At 37.3% G+C, this 15,101-nt stretch overlaps 1 long non-coding RNA gene across 1 annotated transcript in view; it reads left to right on the top strand.

Annotated features, from left to right (window-relative positions):
• LOC105374037 (uncharacterized) overlaps positions 1-15,101 on the top strand; it is a 112,561-nt gene that overhangs the window by 17,496 nt on the left and 79,964 nt on the right. Inside the window, exons 2-3 of the long non-coding RNA XR_924328.3 lie at positions 9,092-9,214; positions 11,205-11,313. This is a non-coding gene — a long non-coding RNA (uncharacterized LOC105374037). The remainder of the gene's footprint in view (positions 1-9,091; positions 9,215-11,204; positions 11,314-15,101) is intronic.

Genomic DNA, 15,101 nt, shown 5'->3' with positions numbered 1-15,101 from the left:
AGGCAAATACGGAATAATGGAATAAAGGCAAAAACATGTACTTCACATTCTGTTTGATGTAATTTTTCTTTCCAGTTTGCTATATTTTTATTTTTTGCTGTGCAATTTACCCAATCTAGTTTAACACCAGTTTTTCTATTTATTAATAGGGAATAATAACACATATTTTACTGTGTTATTAGTGGGGTTAAATGAAATATCCATTCTAGAAATATGTACTGAGTCCCTGTAATAGATACTGGTATCTGCTATAGCAGTTTGCTTTTGGTGCTTACCCCATGCTTTCATCAAATTTATCTTATGATCACTGCTTATGCCCATCTGTCATGGACTTGATTTTCATCTTATGATACTCTTAATAAACAAGCAGAGATAGAGAGGGAGGTGTTACAGAGAGTAAAGCAGACTCAAGGGCCTGCATGGAGAGGTAGATATCTTGCACAAAAATGAAGAAGAGGAAACAGACACAGGAAACATGCTTCAAAGGCAATTGCTACATCTTTTGACTTTTTAAATGTCTTTTTAAAATGACTTTTTAAAAGTCATGTCATATTTTCACAAATATTAGCAATATAATGACAGTCTTTCCCTTCAACTGTGTATGTGGGGACTACAATATTTGGCCAAGAGCTGGTGATTTTCTATGCTGGCTGAAAAGAGACCAGGAGAATACATAAATGGAAACTGAATATCACTGGTTTCTTTAGTTGATCCCTTAGCTGACCTACCATTTCACACACCTTCTCAACATTAACTGTTGTTATCATGATGGAACTATTAATATAACCATAATAGGTATACACCAATAAAAGATTCAGGAATCATATTGCATTCCATTTATTTCTATCTTTCAATTTCTAGTGATATTTTCACAATCTTTGAACACATTTTTATGGTGGAATGAATATCTGTGCAGAAATCAAAATCACAAAAATACATGGAATAACATCTGGCTGATTCAGTCATGTTAATATTTGAAGTCAAACTTGGCTTATTAATATTTATGACTTGAAAATATGTCCTTGGATTTTGTGATCGGATGATTTGATTTTTTATTTATATAAATATTGTGGCTTGTATCTATTGTTATTTGAAAACAAACAAGTCCTTGAAAACCAGTTTATCACTTGTTATTTTCTTCCCCTTTAGGATAATATTACTCAATTTACACTTTTGCTTATATTTACATAGGGCTCAAGTATGTGATTACAGAAAAGGTATAGAAATTGATGCTTTGCTCATCTTAGCTTAGACCATTTTAAAATCTAAGGCCAACATGGTGAAACCCTGTCTGTACTAAAAACACAAAAATTAGCTGAGCGTGGTGGCGCACACCTGTAATCCCAGCTACTTGGGAGGCTGAGGCAGGAGAATTGCTTGAACCCAAGAGGCGGGGGTTGCAGTGAGCTGAGTGCCACTGCACTCCAGCCTGGCGACAGAGCGAGACTCTGTCTTTAAAAAAAAAAAAAAAGAAATTTAAGGCTCTAATAAATGAAAGGTGCTTGTACCGTGATAGCTATACAAGTACCTAATGAGTTTCATAATCACTGTGATTGTGAATAAGAAAATATGTGTCTCTGTCATGTACTAGTCTCAGATGGGCTTGAGAACTAAATCTTAAAAATATTTATTTCAAGTGATGTTTAGTTAATACTTGTAGTTACCTTTATTAAATACTTATATTTTCACAGACAGCAACATATCTGCATATACTATCTTATTTAATACTTTCAAAAAAGTTTTAAGCTAGCTAATTTTTGTAGCTGATTAAAAGGTGAGGAAACTGAAACTTATTAGTCCTATGTCTACTAAGTGGAGAAGCTAAGATTGAAATCTAGGTTTGTTTGATTCTAAAACCTGAAACTTCTGTCTGTTAGGTTAATTGATGCTCCAAACGTGCTAACAAGGTAAAAGAAATTTAGTAATGTCTTTGGCATATATTATTTTATTAAAATTATTTTTATTTTATTAAAATCAGCTATTTTATCAAAACAGTTCTTATTTTATTAAAATATTTTAATATTTTATTTTATTAGAATATTTCTTAATAAATATTTTACTAAAATATCACGTTATTTTATTAAAATATTTTGTAAGAAAAACATGTTAGTACTATAAGAGTTTGCATCTTTTCTATCTGAGAATAAATTATTGTCACTTGCCACTTTGGAGTCTTCTGAGAATGGCCAAAACCTTACTTCAGAGAGAGTGAATAACAAGACACCTGGGGTAACTCTGTCTCTTAAGAGACAAGCTCTGATCATATCTAGCGCAAAATATTGCATGACATTCAAAGTATAAAACAGTTTGTAGAGCTACCTGCAGAACTGCCTTTCTTAACCTCACGTTAGCTTGATTCCATTGCTTGTCCTTCCATTTCTTCACCATAATCATCCCACCAACCTGAGAAGCTTGGATACATGAGATAAGCAAGCACATTCTTCATAGTTTTTTGGGGGTGAGTCAGATATTTACATATTGCTACTTTTAATTTAGTGTATAGATTGGGTGGCTCATTCCCTTTGCCCATGGCCTCATTCTTTGTCTTTGGCTCATGATCTGGTTAATTCTATTTCCCAAAGTAACCCTCATTAGGCGTATCATTTTATCTTTCCTTAGACCTCCCATCATCACTTTCTAACATCTCTTTTGGCTCCCACTCAAAGAGGAAGGATAGTTTCGGGTCATGGCTCCCCAGCCACTAATAATCCATGGAAAAGACAGCCTCTTGATCCCATAAGCAATTGTCCTCATGGTTTCCATTCACAGACATTTCCATGAATAATACTTGTCATTTTGGGGGCACCCTGGCCTTAATGAGATACTCTGATTTGTTCCCCATTCTTTCCTCTCCTTGGTGTTTTTATACAGCCGTTTTCACTACCCTGACTCCTCACTTGACTTTTATTTCTCTGTTTTAAGTTTCTTCAAGGCAGATCTCAAAACTTGTTATATCTACCTCTTTCTGATTTGTCAGTCTTTTAAAAGCTGCTTTTTCTCTTCTCATATTTATCATATTTTGACAATTAAGTAATCATTTTTTGAAAGCTTCTGACCAAAAACTTTTCACTCTGAAGTATTATTTTACCAACATCTGATCTTTTGTAATGTTTTTTTTGAATTGTGGTTACTTCTGCCCTATCTGGGGCCCTCCAGATTTGATTCTTAAGACATTTCATCTGTGATTACAAAGAGAGTCAATGTTAAGCTGTATTTCTGCCTTCAATTTTCTAGTTTTCCCAAAACCTTATTTCCCTTGTAAACTAACAAGCATAGAGGCAGCCTTGGTAGAGGTTAGGTACTGCTGCCTATAGGTAAGGATAAAACTTTATAGAGTCAAAGTTAAATTTGAAAAACCTCTGAAAGGTTCATAGAGCACAAATGGATGCTTTTAAAATACAATCCTGTGCAGCATTACACACCTATAAATATATAATGTATACAGTGATGTTCTTTTTTAGAGGGAACAAGTGGTTGGCTTGTGTTTAAGAGCTATGGTGAGTCAAAAAAGTATGTATGTGGGTGTGTATATATATACATGTAAACGTGTGTATATATATGTACATATATATTAATCTTTAAATATTTAAATTACATTCAATGAAGTAAATTGCTCACATACACAGGAATGCTAGAAATGTAAAAGACTAAAATAATAGGAGTTACACATTTCCTATCTCACACTCATTTTAGGATAAGGTATGTGCCTGCTGGATGTAGTGGTAGACAAAATTAACTGCACTACTTACACTGTTTTTATTTTTACTTATTTTTAATTTTTTGATTACTTAATTACAGGCATCATAAAACTAGATAAACAAGTAAGATTGAATTCTCCTGAATTAAGTGATTATATGATGTAACACTGCCAAATTCATACTTTTCATATTTTATTTCATCTAAGTATAAAGTCTAGTAATACTGGTTTATGTATCTTTTCAGTAGCTTCAGTCAAGTGTTCTGATTTCATTTAACAAGGATAATGAGATGAAAATCCATGGTTTAGATATGTACCTTTGATCTGTAGTTCAGATCAGTGCTTGACTGGTAAAAAACACTGTGGTTGCAAGATGGGGCAACAACAAATGTCTAAATCTTGTAAGTCTAACAAAATATTACAAAGACACATGTCTAAAATGACAGCAAATATCATAAATACCAGTCTTGTTATTTAATTCTGCTTTGCAGAGCTTAAAATAATGATCAGACTTCAACCGTCACCTCTTGTTTCACTTCCAATTTCTTATCTAATACGTATTTTTGTGTACGTAAATCTAAGCTGCTCTGTTTATTGACTAAGGTATACACTGTCTCTTTTGCCCCAAACTCACACAGTAATGGTGTCAGAAATTTTAGGTAGGAGTATCTTAGGTTTAATCTGTTTAGAAGGTGAACAAGATTGTTTCTTCTGAAGCCATATTTGCTGAGAAAGCATACACACTTTTCTTCATTCCTGTCTTTCCCTGGGGAAATCCTAGGGATTAAATGGTGAAGGCCTATAGCTACTGGTTTGCCATTTGTCTAGACTGAAATTCAGGTTTGCCCCTCAAATCCTAGATTTCATGTGCATGGAAGTATCTTTTTTCATTCTTGTTTTTTTATTTTTTCACAAGATACATTTATTGAGCATCAGACTATTTAATCTGTTTCTGATTAGTTAATTGACTTCTTTCAGGTTATTTAAGCCCTGAAGTGGACCAAATTACACTTTCTCTCCCTCTTTAAGTTTCTTTCAGTAGAAGTTTATTTTGGCTTGATTTGAGCTCCTGAGTTTATATCTTGTTTCTATTGACATAGATCACCTGGTTTGGTAAGTCTTTACCCTACTGAACAATAATCTCACTTTAATAGGTTTGTATCTTTCATATTCAATTGTTTGGCTGTAGGGAAAAGGGCAACAGTATAGTGTATAAAAAATGTGAAAAGTAATAGTACCCCATATTGAGTACCTCCACCTTATCCCATTTAATCCTTGTAGGAGATCAGTCAGGGTGGTGGGAAAAGTTATAAAAATTATAGGGAAAGATGCAAACCTTCTTGGAAGTCCAGGAGGTTTTGCAAAAGCTTCGAAAGAGTATTTGGCTGAAGGTGGTTAAATTTTCTTAAGAGCAAGGGTTAGATAACAAGGGAATGTAAAGGACCTTAACTAGATAAATTTATTTACTCCTGCCTCCAGAAATCAAACTTTGATCATTTGTGTGCAGGACTGCTCTCTACTCGGGGCGGGGAGGGGAGGTCAACAGTGTTTATTACCCACAAATTGTGTTTACTCCAAGCCTTTGTCATTAAACCTGTACTAAATAAATTCGAGCGGGGCTGACTTATGGGGCCTGCACTCTCGGTGGCTGCTGGTCTCTCTCGTCGGCGAGGCAGAGCCGTGTGGTCCCTTAGTCGCGCTGTCAGGCAGAATACCTACGTCAGCGAACTTCTTCCATCCATCGCCCGGCCAGAGCCTGCGGGACAGACTCGGCAACCCTCACTTTGGGAAGATTATTGTTCATATCTTACTGATGAAGACACTGAAAACTAGAGGAGTTAAAAATTACAAAATGTATATTGCTGACATTCAACAATATTTAGCTCTTCCATGAAGCTAATGATACATAATATTTTATTGTTTCTTAGAAATTTTGTGGTTTTTTTAATTCTTCCCAACTATATTGTGTGAGGGTAGAGGCCATGTTTCATACTTTTTTCATGTCCTTACATTACTCAGTCAATAATTTTCCCTCGATAAATAATTATTAAATCGAAGTTTTGTATTTAGTTATAAAATTTTCCTCTCCATTTTGATTAGCATTTTTGTCACTTAAATAGAGCAGATCTTTGCAGGATGCCACTGCTGACAGTTTCCCTGGGAATCAGCAGCTGAATTCGGGATGATATTCTCTTAGATGACCCTCACACAGGAAGGACTGGAAGAAGTAATCACTATTCATTCCCTTACTTTACTTTCAATGAAGTTATTGCTATTCCTTAATTTTGATAATTAATCTCTGAATCCACATGAGAAAAGTATAATTTCTTTTTTAAATTTTAGTGTGGTGGGTAAGGGACCATAGATGGGAGAAGTATATTAAACTGTAGTAATTGCATCACAGAGATAAAAATCAAAGGCAGTAGCTGATCTGATATAAAAGGTGTGGCTTCTTAGCTGTATTTGCTTTAGTTCTTACATAAAGAATGTTTCTCTTCTAATGTGTCCTAGGACTTTACAATACTCTAATGAGACCACCACCAACTGAAAATCACAGCTTTATTATTACCAATGAGGATTTAAGGCTAAGATTATAAATAAATATGTCTTTCAGATGAATTAGGTAAATGAGTATCAAAATCCAGAGTGTCACAGAATTCTTAAGTGTAGGTTGTAATTAAGGACTCAGCACAATGTCCTAAATGATTCCATAACATTTTCTCATTTGGAGTTGTCTAAACTGAGTCACTTGGTCATCCTCTGTGAATTAGTTCAATCTCACACTGCTATAAAGATATTATACCTAAGGCGGGGTAATTTATAAAGAAAAGAGGTTTAACTGACTCACAGTTCGGCCTGGGAGGCCTCAGGTAACTTACAATCATGGCAGATGGTGAAAGGGAAGTAAAGACTTTCTTCACATGGTGGCAGGAGAGAGAAGTGCAAGCAGGGGAAATGCAAGATGCTTATAAAACCCTCGGATCTCATGAGAACTCACTCACTATCAGGAGAACAGCATGGGGGAAACCACCCCCATGATCTAATTACCTCCCGCCAAGTCCCTCCCTTGACACGTGAGGATTATGGGAATTATAATTCAAGATGAGACTTGGGTGGGGACACAGCCAAAGCATATCACTCTGCCTGTGTTGGCCTCCGTTTTTAGTTGGTAGCCTGAAAGGTATGGTGTTTTCATATCAATCTGAGGGATTTTAATTTCTTGCTCAAAGAGTGCAGTGATTTTCCTGACAAGACTAACTTTGTGGGGAATGAAAAAGAAAGAAAGCCTTACTGAACACATGTCTGTGTCTGAATTCTTTCATCTTATTAAGAGTTGAGTGTCATTTCTACTCTCCTCCTACTTAATAAGTCAAAAGGGCACGTTATAGCATTTGGTATATACAACAAAAGCAAAGATTTACCTTCTCTAGGTTAAGTTACCTTCTCTAGGCAAGAGAAAAAATTCTGGGTGTTACATTAGAAATTTTGGGGTAAGAAAGTGAGATATTATAATGAATAGCTCCCTTTTGGTACCAAAACCCAATTCAGCACTCTTGGTTACCAGAACTCAATAAAAATTAACTTTAGAAGCACAAGTAATAGAAAAAAGTGGAGTGGGGACAAGAACAGCTCCAAGAATTAGAACTGGGGACTTTACTGGGATAAAGTCTCTCTCTTCCCATCTTTCCTGTCTGCTTCTTTCTACTTATTGGTTTCATATACTCTTATATTAAGTCAAGCTTTTTCCAGGATTCAGCAAACAAAGAGAGAACAGAGCCATGGGCATAGTTTCAGTTTAGTGAGTGAAAATCAGTTTCCCTGTTAGATAGTTTAAGAACCTTCCTATAGAGGAATTCTCTTGGTCTTGTTTGAGCCAAATGGTAATGCCTGGGCCATTCAGCATGCCCGACCACTATCACTGGGTTCTATAACTGGTGTGGATTGTCACAGACCCTTTGCTAGGGTCAGTGTGAAGAGAATACTGTGACTAACAACCTCTAAGAGAATTATGTGGTCGGAACTTGTGAGGACCAGTTTGCTAAAGGAAATATGACTTGTTTCTAGAAAAAGAGGAAAAAGTGATGGGTAGATGGATAGACAGGAAGCAGAAAAAAATAGTAGTTGTTCAATACAGATTGACTGTATTAGTTTTCTGTGCTGAAAAACAAATTACTACTGGTTCAGCAACCTAAAATAATACTCATTTCTTATCTCAGTTTTGGCACATCTGAAGTCTGGATATGGCATAGCTGAGTTCTCTGCTCAGCGTCTCACACATCTGAAATCAAGGTGTCAACCAGGGCTGCCTGCTAATCTGGAGCTCAGAGTCCTCTCCCAAACTCGACAGAATCACTTCCTTGGGATTGTAAGACTGAGTCCCTGCTCTTTTGTTCTGTCAGTCAGGTGCCACTTTTATCTACTGGAGGTCCCCCTGCCACATGGCCTCATCCAAAGCAGTTTGCTTCTTCAAAGTCAGCAGGTGAATTTATCTCTTTGAATTTCCCTTTTAGGAAAGACGTTGACCCTCTTTTAAAACGGTCACCTGGTTAGGTCAGGCCTGCATAGGATAATCACCCTTTTGATGAACTCAAACTAATCTGGGACCTTAATCTGCAAAATCTCTTTGCTGTATAATTTAGCATAATCACTGGAGTGACATCCATCATAATCATAGATGGCACCTGGATTCAAGTGAAGAGTGTTATAGGAGATGTGTACTCTAGGGGATAGAAATGTTGAGGTTTATCTTAAAATTTTGCATACCACATCAATGTTTCCTGGAAATAGATACAATGCATCAAAAAATAGAGGATCCCAACAAATTATACAAAGGTGTGTATAAATTCATTTACTTGGCATAAGCTTTATTTTTGTTTGCAAATTCCAATTAATATTATGCTGTGTAAAGTTGCTTTGAAATCTGTGGTTCCAAATGATATATAAAGAGTCATCTCTAAGATTCTTTCACATTAAGTTTTGTCTTTAATTTTCCCTCACCTATGCCTTGAAATTTCCAAAAAAAGTGGCTTCTACCTGTCACTATTATCTAGTTTCATGTCTCTGAGGTGTCCTAGAGAAAATTATTTTTAAAGTCCATTAAAGCCAACTGCAGTACGTGAACCAGTGTCTTAGCCACCAATCAATTTCAGAATCATCGCTACTTCTTAGATTCTTGCATTAAAGGTCCATGATTGTTTTCAGGAAAATGCAAAAAACGTGGTTTTGGTTGACAAAGGGAGTTGTGGTCTTTGGAGAATTGAAGTGTTTCAACCTATACTGTTTGTAATTTAGGCTGTGCATGGAGTGTAACTTTTTTTTGCATTGCTGTAGATTTCTATATATTTTAATTATTTGAAATATATGTACTAAGTATTTGCTTTGTTCCTAAAACAGCATCAATTGCTCTACAATTTGGAGATATCAGACGAACAGAGGGAAAATGCAGTCAGTGGTCTAAAGCTGCCCCTTAGGAAATCTAAGGCTATATCTGGTTCCATAAAGTCTTTAATCAGTCAGGTAAATGCTTTCTTTTTTTCTATATTCTTCTCTTTGCTCTCCCTCTACCCATGAATATATATGCTAAAGTGACTAACTAAATGCTCTTATAATCCTGGCCTTGGGTAGTTTAAAAAATATGTATTTTAATAAATGCTTCAAATCAAAATACTCGCATCTATAGCTGCTTATTAAACTAAAAATAGTTCATTGTAGATAACAATTATGATGAAGTTAATAATGAAGACTTTCATTAGTTTAAAAAATTTTAAATGTTTTTGAGGCTATCAGTAACAGTATAGGTTTAATTTAAGCTGATTCTGGATTCAGAGTCCAGAGTGCTCACCATTACACCATGGAACCTCACAATTAATTTAAGCTGATTCTAACATATTTTCTACTACTGTGCTATAGTCAGTATTTTCACAGTATATTTTTTGTTCAGAAAGATACCCATACACACCCACACACACATACATGGAAAGGGGACAAGGAAAGAGAGAGAGAGAGAATTTTACCTCTACCACTTCTCTGTAAACATATATCATTTAGATTGAATGGAAAGAAAAAATTTAATTCTAAAAAATACATGTTTGTTTTCCCCAAGATTGTTTTGATATTTTGAGGCAAGTGTTGTTTATATTCCTGGGAATTCTGTTCCTAAATTAATACATTAATAAGTTCTGCAAGCACTCAAGAATTCCTGGAAGAACTATCTACCTTCTCTTCATTTATGATGCAGAACTATTGGGAATAGTTCTGGCTCATTTAGGTAGACAGTGGAAAATGCTTCTACTTCACCAAATATGAGACATATTCTAATCCATTCATATGGCATTTTCTTCGAGTATATTAAGGGATCCACACCTACTCGATGCACCAGGCTTTGTGAGTACACATAATCTGTGTTCCCAGAGAGCAAGTGGATGCTTAATGAGTATGGGAATGGGGAGATCAATTATCTGTCCCATTTCTCTACTTCCTGATTTGGTGTTTAAAAGAATATATATCTATCAGCATTTCAACCCATTTTAAGTTAGTGTCAGAATCATAATAGAAAGGACATTTTGCTGAAAGCTCAATTTTGGAACAAAGTGTACTTGGAGCTTAGGTCATTGAGATATGGTTATGAGTTAGTCGTAAAACTCTCCATCATTTTCCATTACCTAGAAATTGATTGTTCAGCCAGAAGAATTTAAAATCCCCCTTATCTCCTCCACAAGTTCCCTGACACAATCTCTGTAAGCACTTGGAACTTTACTTCCTAGCCTTAAACCCAGTTTAAGTATCATTTCCTCCAGCCCATAAATCCTTAAGTTCCAATTCTAAGTAATTCTGTCTTTAATTATTAAATGCCTAGTACTGTTGATATTTTATGGACACACATATTGTTTTCATAATGGGATTATGAGTTCTATGAAATTAGAGACTTTCTCTTATGTTATGTTGCCTTTTTGTTTTAACCTCCCATTACCTATAGTATAAAAGTACATGTTCAACAAGATCTTTTACAATCAAAATCAATAAACTTCTTTCCTCATCTCAATAACTGTTTACATTTATATAGTACTTTCTTTTTTATTCCACACAATGACTTTACTTCTTCCTAATACGTTACTTGAAGGTATATTTTACATGTGAAATGTGGGGAAACATGCTGGGGGAAGACTGTGTGAGTTTATTGTGAATAAAGCAAAAATCATAGGATGGAGAGCTGGAGCCGAACTTCAGGTAGATCTGAACCCTAATGGGGATTCAGAAGCTGATAAAATATTATACCGTCTATTTTTAAAACCGATGTTAGTTACCCTTTATTGCTGAGGAGTTAAATCAGCTGAATATAAGCAAATTATTTGATAAAGTCCAGCTGAGAAGATTACTCTCATGTTGAGTCAATTTTGATTAAAGGCTACGACAACTATTAATGAAAAATTATCATGTTCACCTGCATTGACACAACTCTATTATTTAATTTAAATTCGAATCATGCTCAATGACTTTTGCTTTTTAGTCAGAACAACTGCAGCATTCCTGCCGCTCAGAATACCTTAATGGCCTTAGTAGCTGAGGTCCTCACAGCACTGGCAAGAGCAACATGGCATTGGAATGGGAGGACTGAAGTAAGTTTCTTCCACAAAAGGTAACATTATATGCAAGGTATTTAATTAGTTGTGACCTTGAATGGGTCACTTCCTTTTCTGAGTCTCAGTTTAAACATTTAGTTGGTAGTCTCACACATTTTTGGGCATAAAACACATTTTCCTCATCTTATATCCATAACTACCCAGTGAAGCAGTTCTCATGTCACAGATGGGAAAAATGATAATTAAATTAAATTAATTTGGTGACTAGTGGAGGTAGCACAGCTATTAAGTGGTGGGGTGAAAAGCCCAATTCTGAGCTCCTGCCTTCAAATACCCTCCCTTTTCTTCCACCACAAACTACTTCTCTATCTAGCGGATAACACAGTGGATTACACATTATCTTTCTGAAAACCTCCATCAAAATGCAAATCCAAATATCTCAGCTATCCAGTTTAAAATGACTTAGCGGGAGGGAGGGGCCAGGATGGCCGAATAGGAACAGCTCCGGTCTACAGCTCCCAGCGTGAGCGACGCAGAAGATGGGTGATTTCTGCATTTCCATCTGAGGTACTGGGTTCATCTCACTAGGGAGTGCCAGACAGTGGGTGCAGGACAGTGGGTGCGCACAACATGCACGAGCCTAAGCAGGGCAAGGCATTGCCTCACTCGGGAAGCACAAGGGGTCAGGGAGTTTCCTTTCCTAGTCAAAGAAAGGGGTGACAGACAGCACCTGGAAAATCGGGTCACTCCCACCCAAATACTGCACTTTTCCGACGGGCTTAAAAAACAGCGCACCAGGAGATTATATCCTGCACATGGCTGGGAGGATCCTATGCCCATGGAGTCTCGCTGATTGCTAGCACAGCAGTCTGAGAGCAAACTGCAAGGTGGCAGCAAGGCTGGGGGAGGGGTGCCCGCCATTGCCCAGGCTTGCTTAGGTAAACAAAGCAGCCAGGAAGCTCTAACTGGGTGGAGCCCACTACAGCTCAAGGAGGCCTGCCTGCCTCTGTAGGCTCCACCTCTGGGGGCAGGGCACAGACAAACAAAAAGACAGCAGGAACCTCTGCAGACTTAAATGTCCCTGTCTGACAGCTTTGAAGAGAGCAGTGGTTCTCCCAGCATGCAGCTGGAGATCTGAGAACGGGCAGACTGCCTCCTCAAGTGGCTCCCTGACCCCTGACCCCCGAGCAGCCTAACTGGGAGGCATCCCCCAGCAGGGGCAGACTGACACTTCACACGGCCGGGTACTCCAACAGACCTGCAGCTGAGGGTCCTGTCTGTTAGAAGGAAAACTAACAAACAGAAAGGACATCCACACCAAAAACCCATCTGTACATCACCATCATCAAAGACCAAAAGTAGATAAAACCACAAAGATGGGGGGAAAACAGAGCAGAAAAACTGGAAACTCTAAAAAGCAGAGCACCACTCCTCCTCCAAAGGAACGCAGTTCCTCACCAGCAGTGGAACAAAGCTGGACGGAGAATGACTTTGACGAGCTGAGAGAAGAAGGCTTCAGATGATCAAATTACTCTGAGCTACGGGAGGACATTCAAACCAAAGGCAAAGAAGTTGAAAACTTGGAAAAAAATTTAGAAGAATGTATAACTAGAATAACCAATACAGAGAAGTGCTTAAAGGAGCTGATGGAGCTGAAAACCAAGGCTCGAGAACTACGTGAAGAATGCAGAAGCCTCAGGAGCCGATGCAATCAACTGGAAGAAAGGGTATTAGCGATGGAAGATGAAGTGAATGAAATGAAGCGAGAAGGGAAGTTTAGAGAAAAAAGAATAAAAAGAAATGAGCAAAGCCTCCAAGAGATAGGGGACTATGTGAAAAGACCAAATCTACGTCTGATTGGTGTACCTGAAAGTGACGGGGAGAATGGAACCAAGTTGGAAAACACTCTGCAGGATATTATCCAGGAGAACTTCCCCAATCTAGCAAGGCAGGCCAACATTCAGATTCAGGAAATACAGAGAACACCACAAAGATAGTCCTCGAGAAGAGCAACTCCAAGACACATAATTGTCAGATTCACCAAAGTTGAAATGAAGGAAAAAATGTTAAGGGCAGCCAGAGAGAAAGGTCGGGTTACCCTCAAAGGGAAGCCCATCAGACTAACAGCAGATCTCTCGGCAGAAACTCTACAAGCCAGAAGAGAGTGTGGGCCAATATTCAACATTCTTAAAGAAAAGAATTTTCAACCCAGAATTTCATATCCAGCCAAACTAAGCTTCATAAGTGAAGGAGAAATAAAATACTTTACAGACAAGCAAATGCTGAGAGATTTTGTCACCACCAGGCCTGCCCTAAAAGAGCTCCTGAAGGAAGCGCTAAACATGGAAAGGAACAACCGGTACCAGCCGCTGCAAAATCATGCCAAAATGTAAAGACCATCGAGACTAGGAAGAAACTGCATCAACTAACGAGCAAAATCATCAGCTAACATCATAATGACAGGATCAAATTCACACATAACAATATTAACTTTAAATGTAAATGGATTAATGCTCCAATTAAAAGACACAGACTGGCAAATTGGATAAAGAGTCAAGACCCATCAGTGTGCTGTATTCAGGAAACCCATCTCACATGCAGAGACACACATAGGCTCAAAATAAAAGGATGGAGGAAGATCTACCAAGCAAATGGAAAACAAAAAAAGGCAGGGGTTGCAATCCTAGTCTCTGATAAAACAGACTTTAAACCAACAAAGATCAAAAGAGACAAAGAAGGCCATTACATAATGGTAAAGGGATCAATTCAACAAGAAGAGCTAACTATCCTAAATATATATGCACCCAATACAGGAGCACCCAGATTCATAAAGCAAGTCCTGAGTGACCTACAAAGAGACTTAGACTCCCACACATTAAAAAGGGAGACTTTAACACCCCACTGTCAACATTAGACAGATCAACGAGACAGAAAGTCAGCAAGGATACCCAGGAATTGAACTCAGCTCTGCACCAAGTGGACCTAATAGACATCTACAGAACTCTCCACCCCAAATCAACAGAATATACATTTTTTTCAGCACCACACCACACCTATTCCAAAATTGACCACATAGTTGGAAGTAAGCTCTCCTCAGCAAATGTAAAAGAACAGAAATTATAACAAACTATCTCTCAGACCACAGTGCAATCAAACTAGAACTCAGGATTAAGAATCTCACTCAAAACCGCTCAACTACATGGAAACTGAACAACCTGCTCCTGAATGACTACTGGGTACATAACGAAATGAAGGCAGAAATAAAGATGTTCTTTGAAACCAACGAGAACAAAGACACAACATACCAGAATCTCTGGGACGCATTCAAAGCAGTGTGTAGAGGGAAATTTATAGCACTAAATGCCCACAAGAGAAAGCAGGAAAGATCCAAAATTGACACCCTAACATCACAAGTAAAAGAACTAGAAAAGCAAGAGCAAACACATTCAAAAGCTAGCAGAAGGCAAGAAATAACTAAAATCAGAGCAGAACTGAAGGAAATAGAGACACAAAAAACCCTTCAAAAAATTAATGAATCCAGGAGCTAGTTTTTTGAAAGGATCAACAAAATTGATAAACTGCTAGCAAGACTAATAAAGAAAAAAGAGAGAAGAATCAAATAGACACAATAAAAAATGATAAAGGGGATATCACCACCGATCCCACAGAAATACAAACTACCATCAGAGAATACTACAAACACCTCTACGCAAATAAACTAGAAAATCTAGAAGAAATGGATAAATTCCTCGACATATACACTCTCCCAAAACTAAACCAGGAAGAAGTTGAATCTCTGAATAGACCAATAACAGGCTCTGAAA

Source organism: Homo sapiens, chromosome 3 (assembly GCF_000001405.40).
Source record: "Homo sapiens chromosome 3, GRCh38.p14 Primary Assembly".
In the NCBI taxonomy this organism is placed as follows: Eukaryota; Metazoa; Chordata; class Mammalia; order Primates; family Hominidae; genus Homo; species Homo sapiens.
Note: the sequence above shows the minus strand (reverse complement) of the source record. Positions and strands in the feature narration are given on the sequence as shown.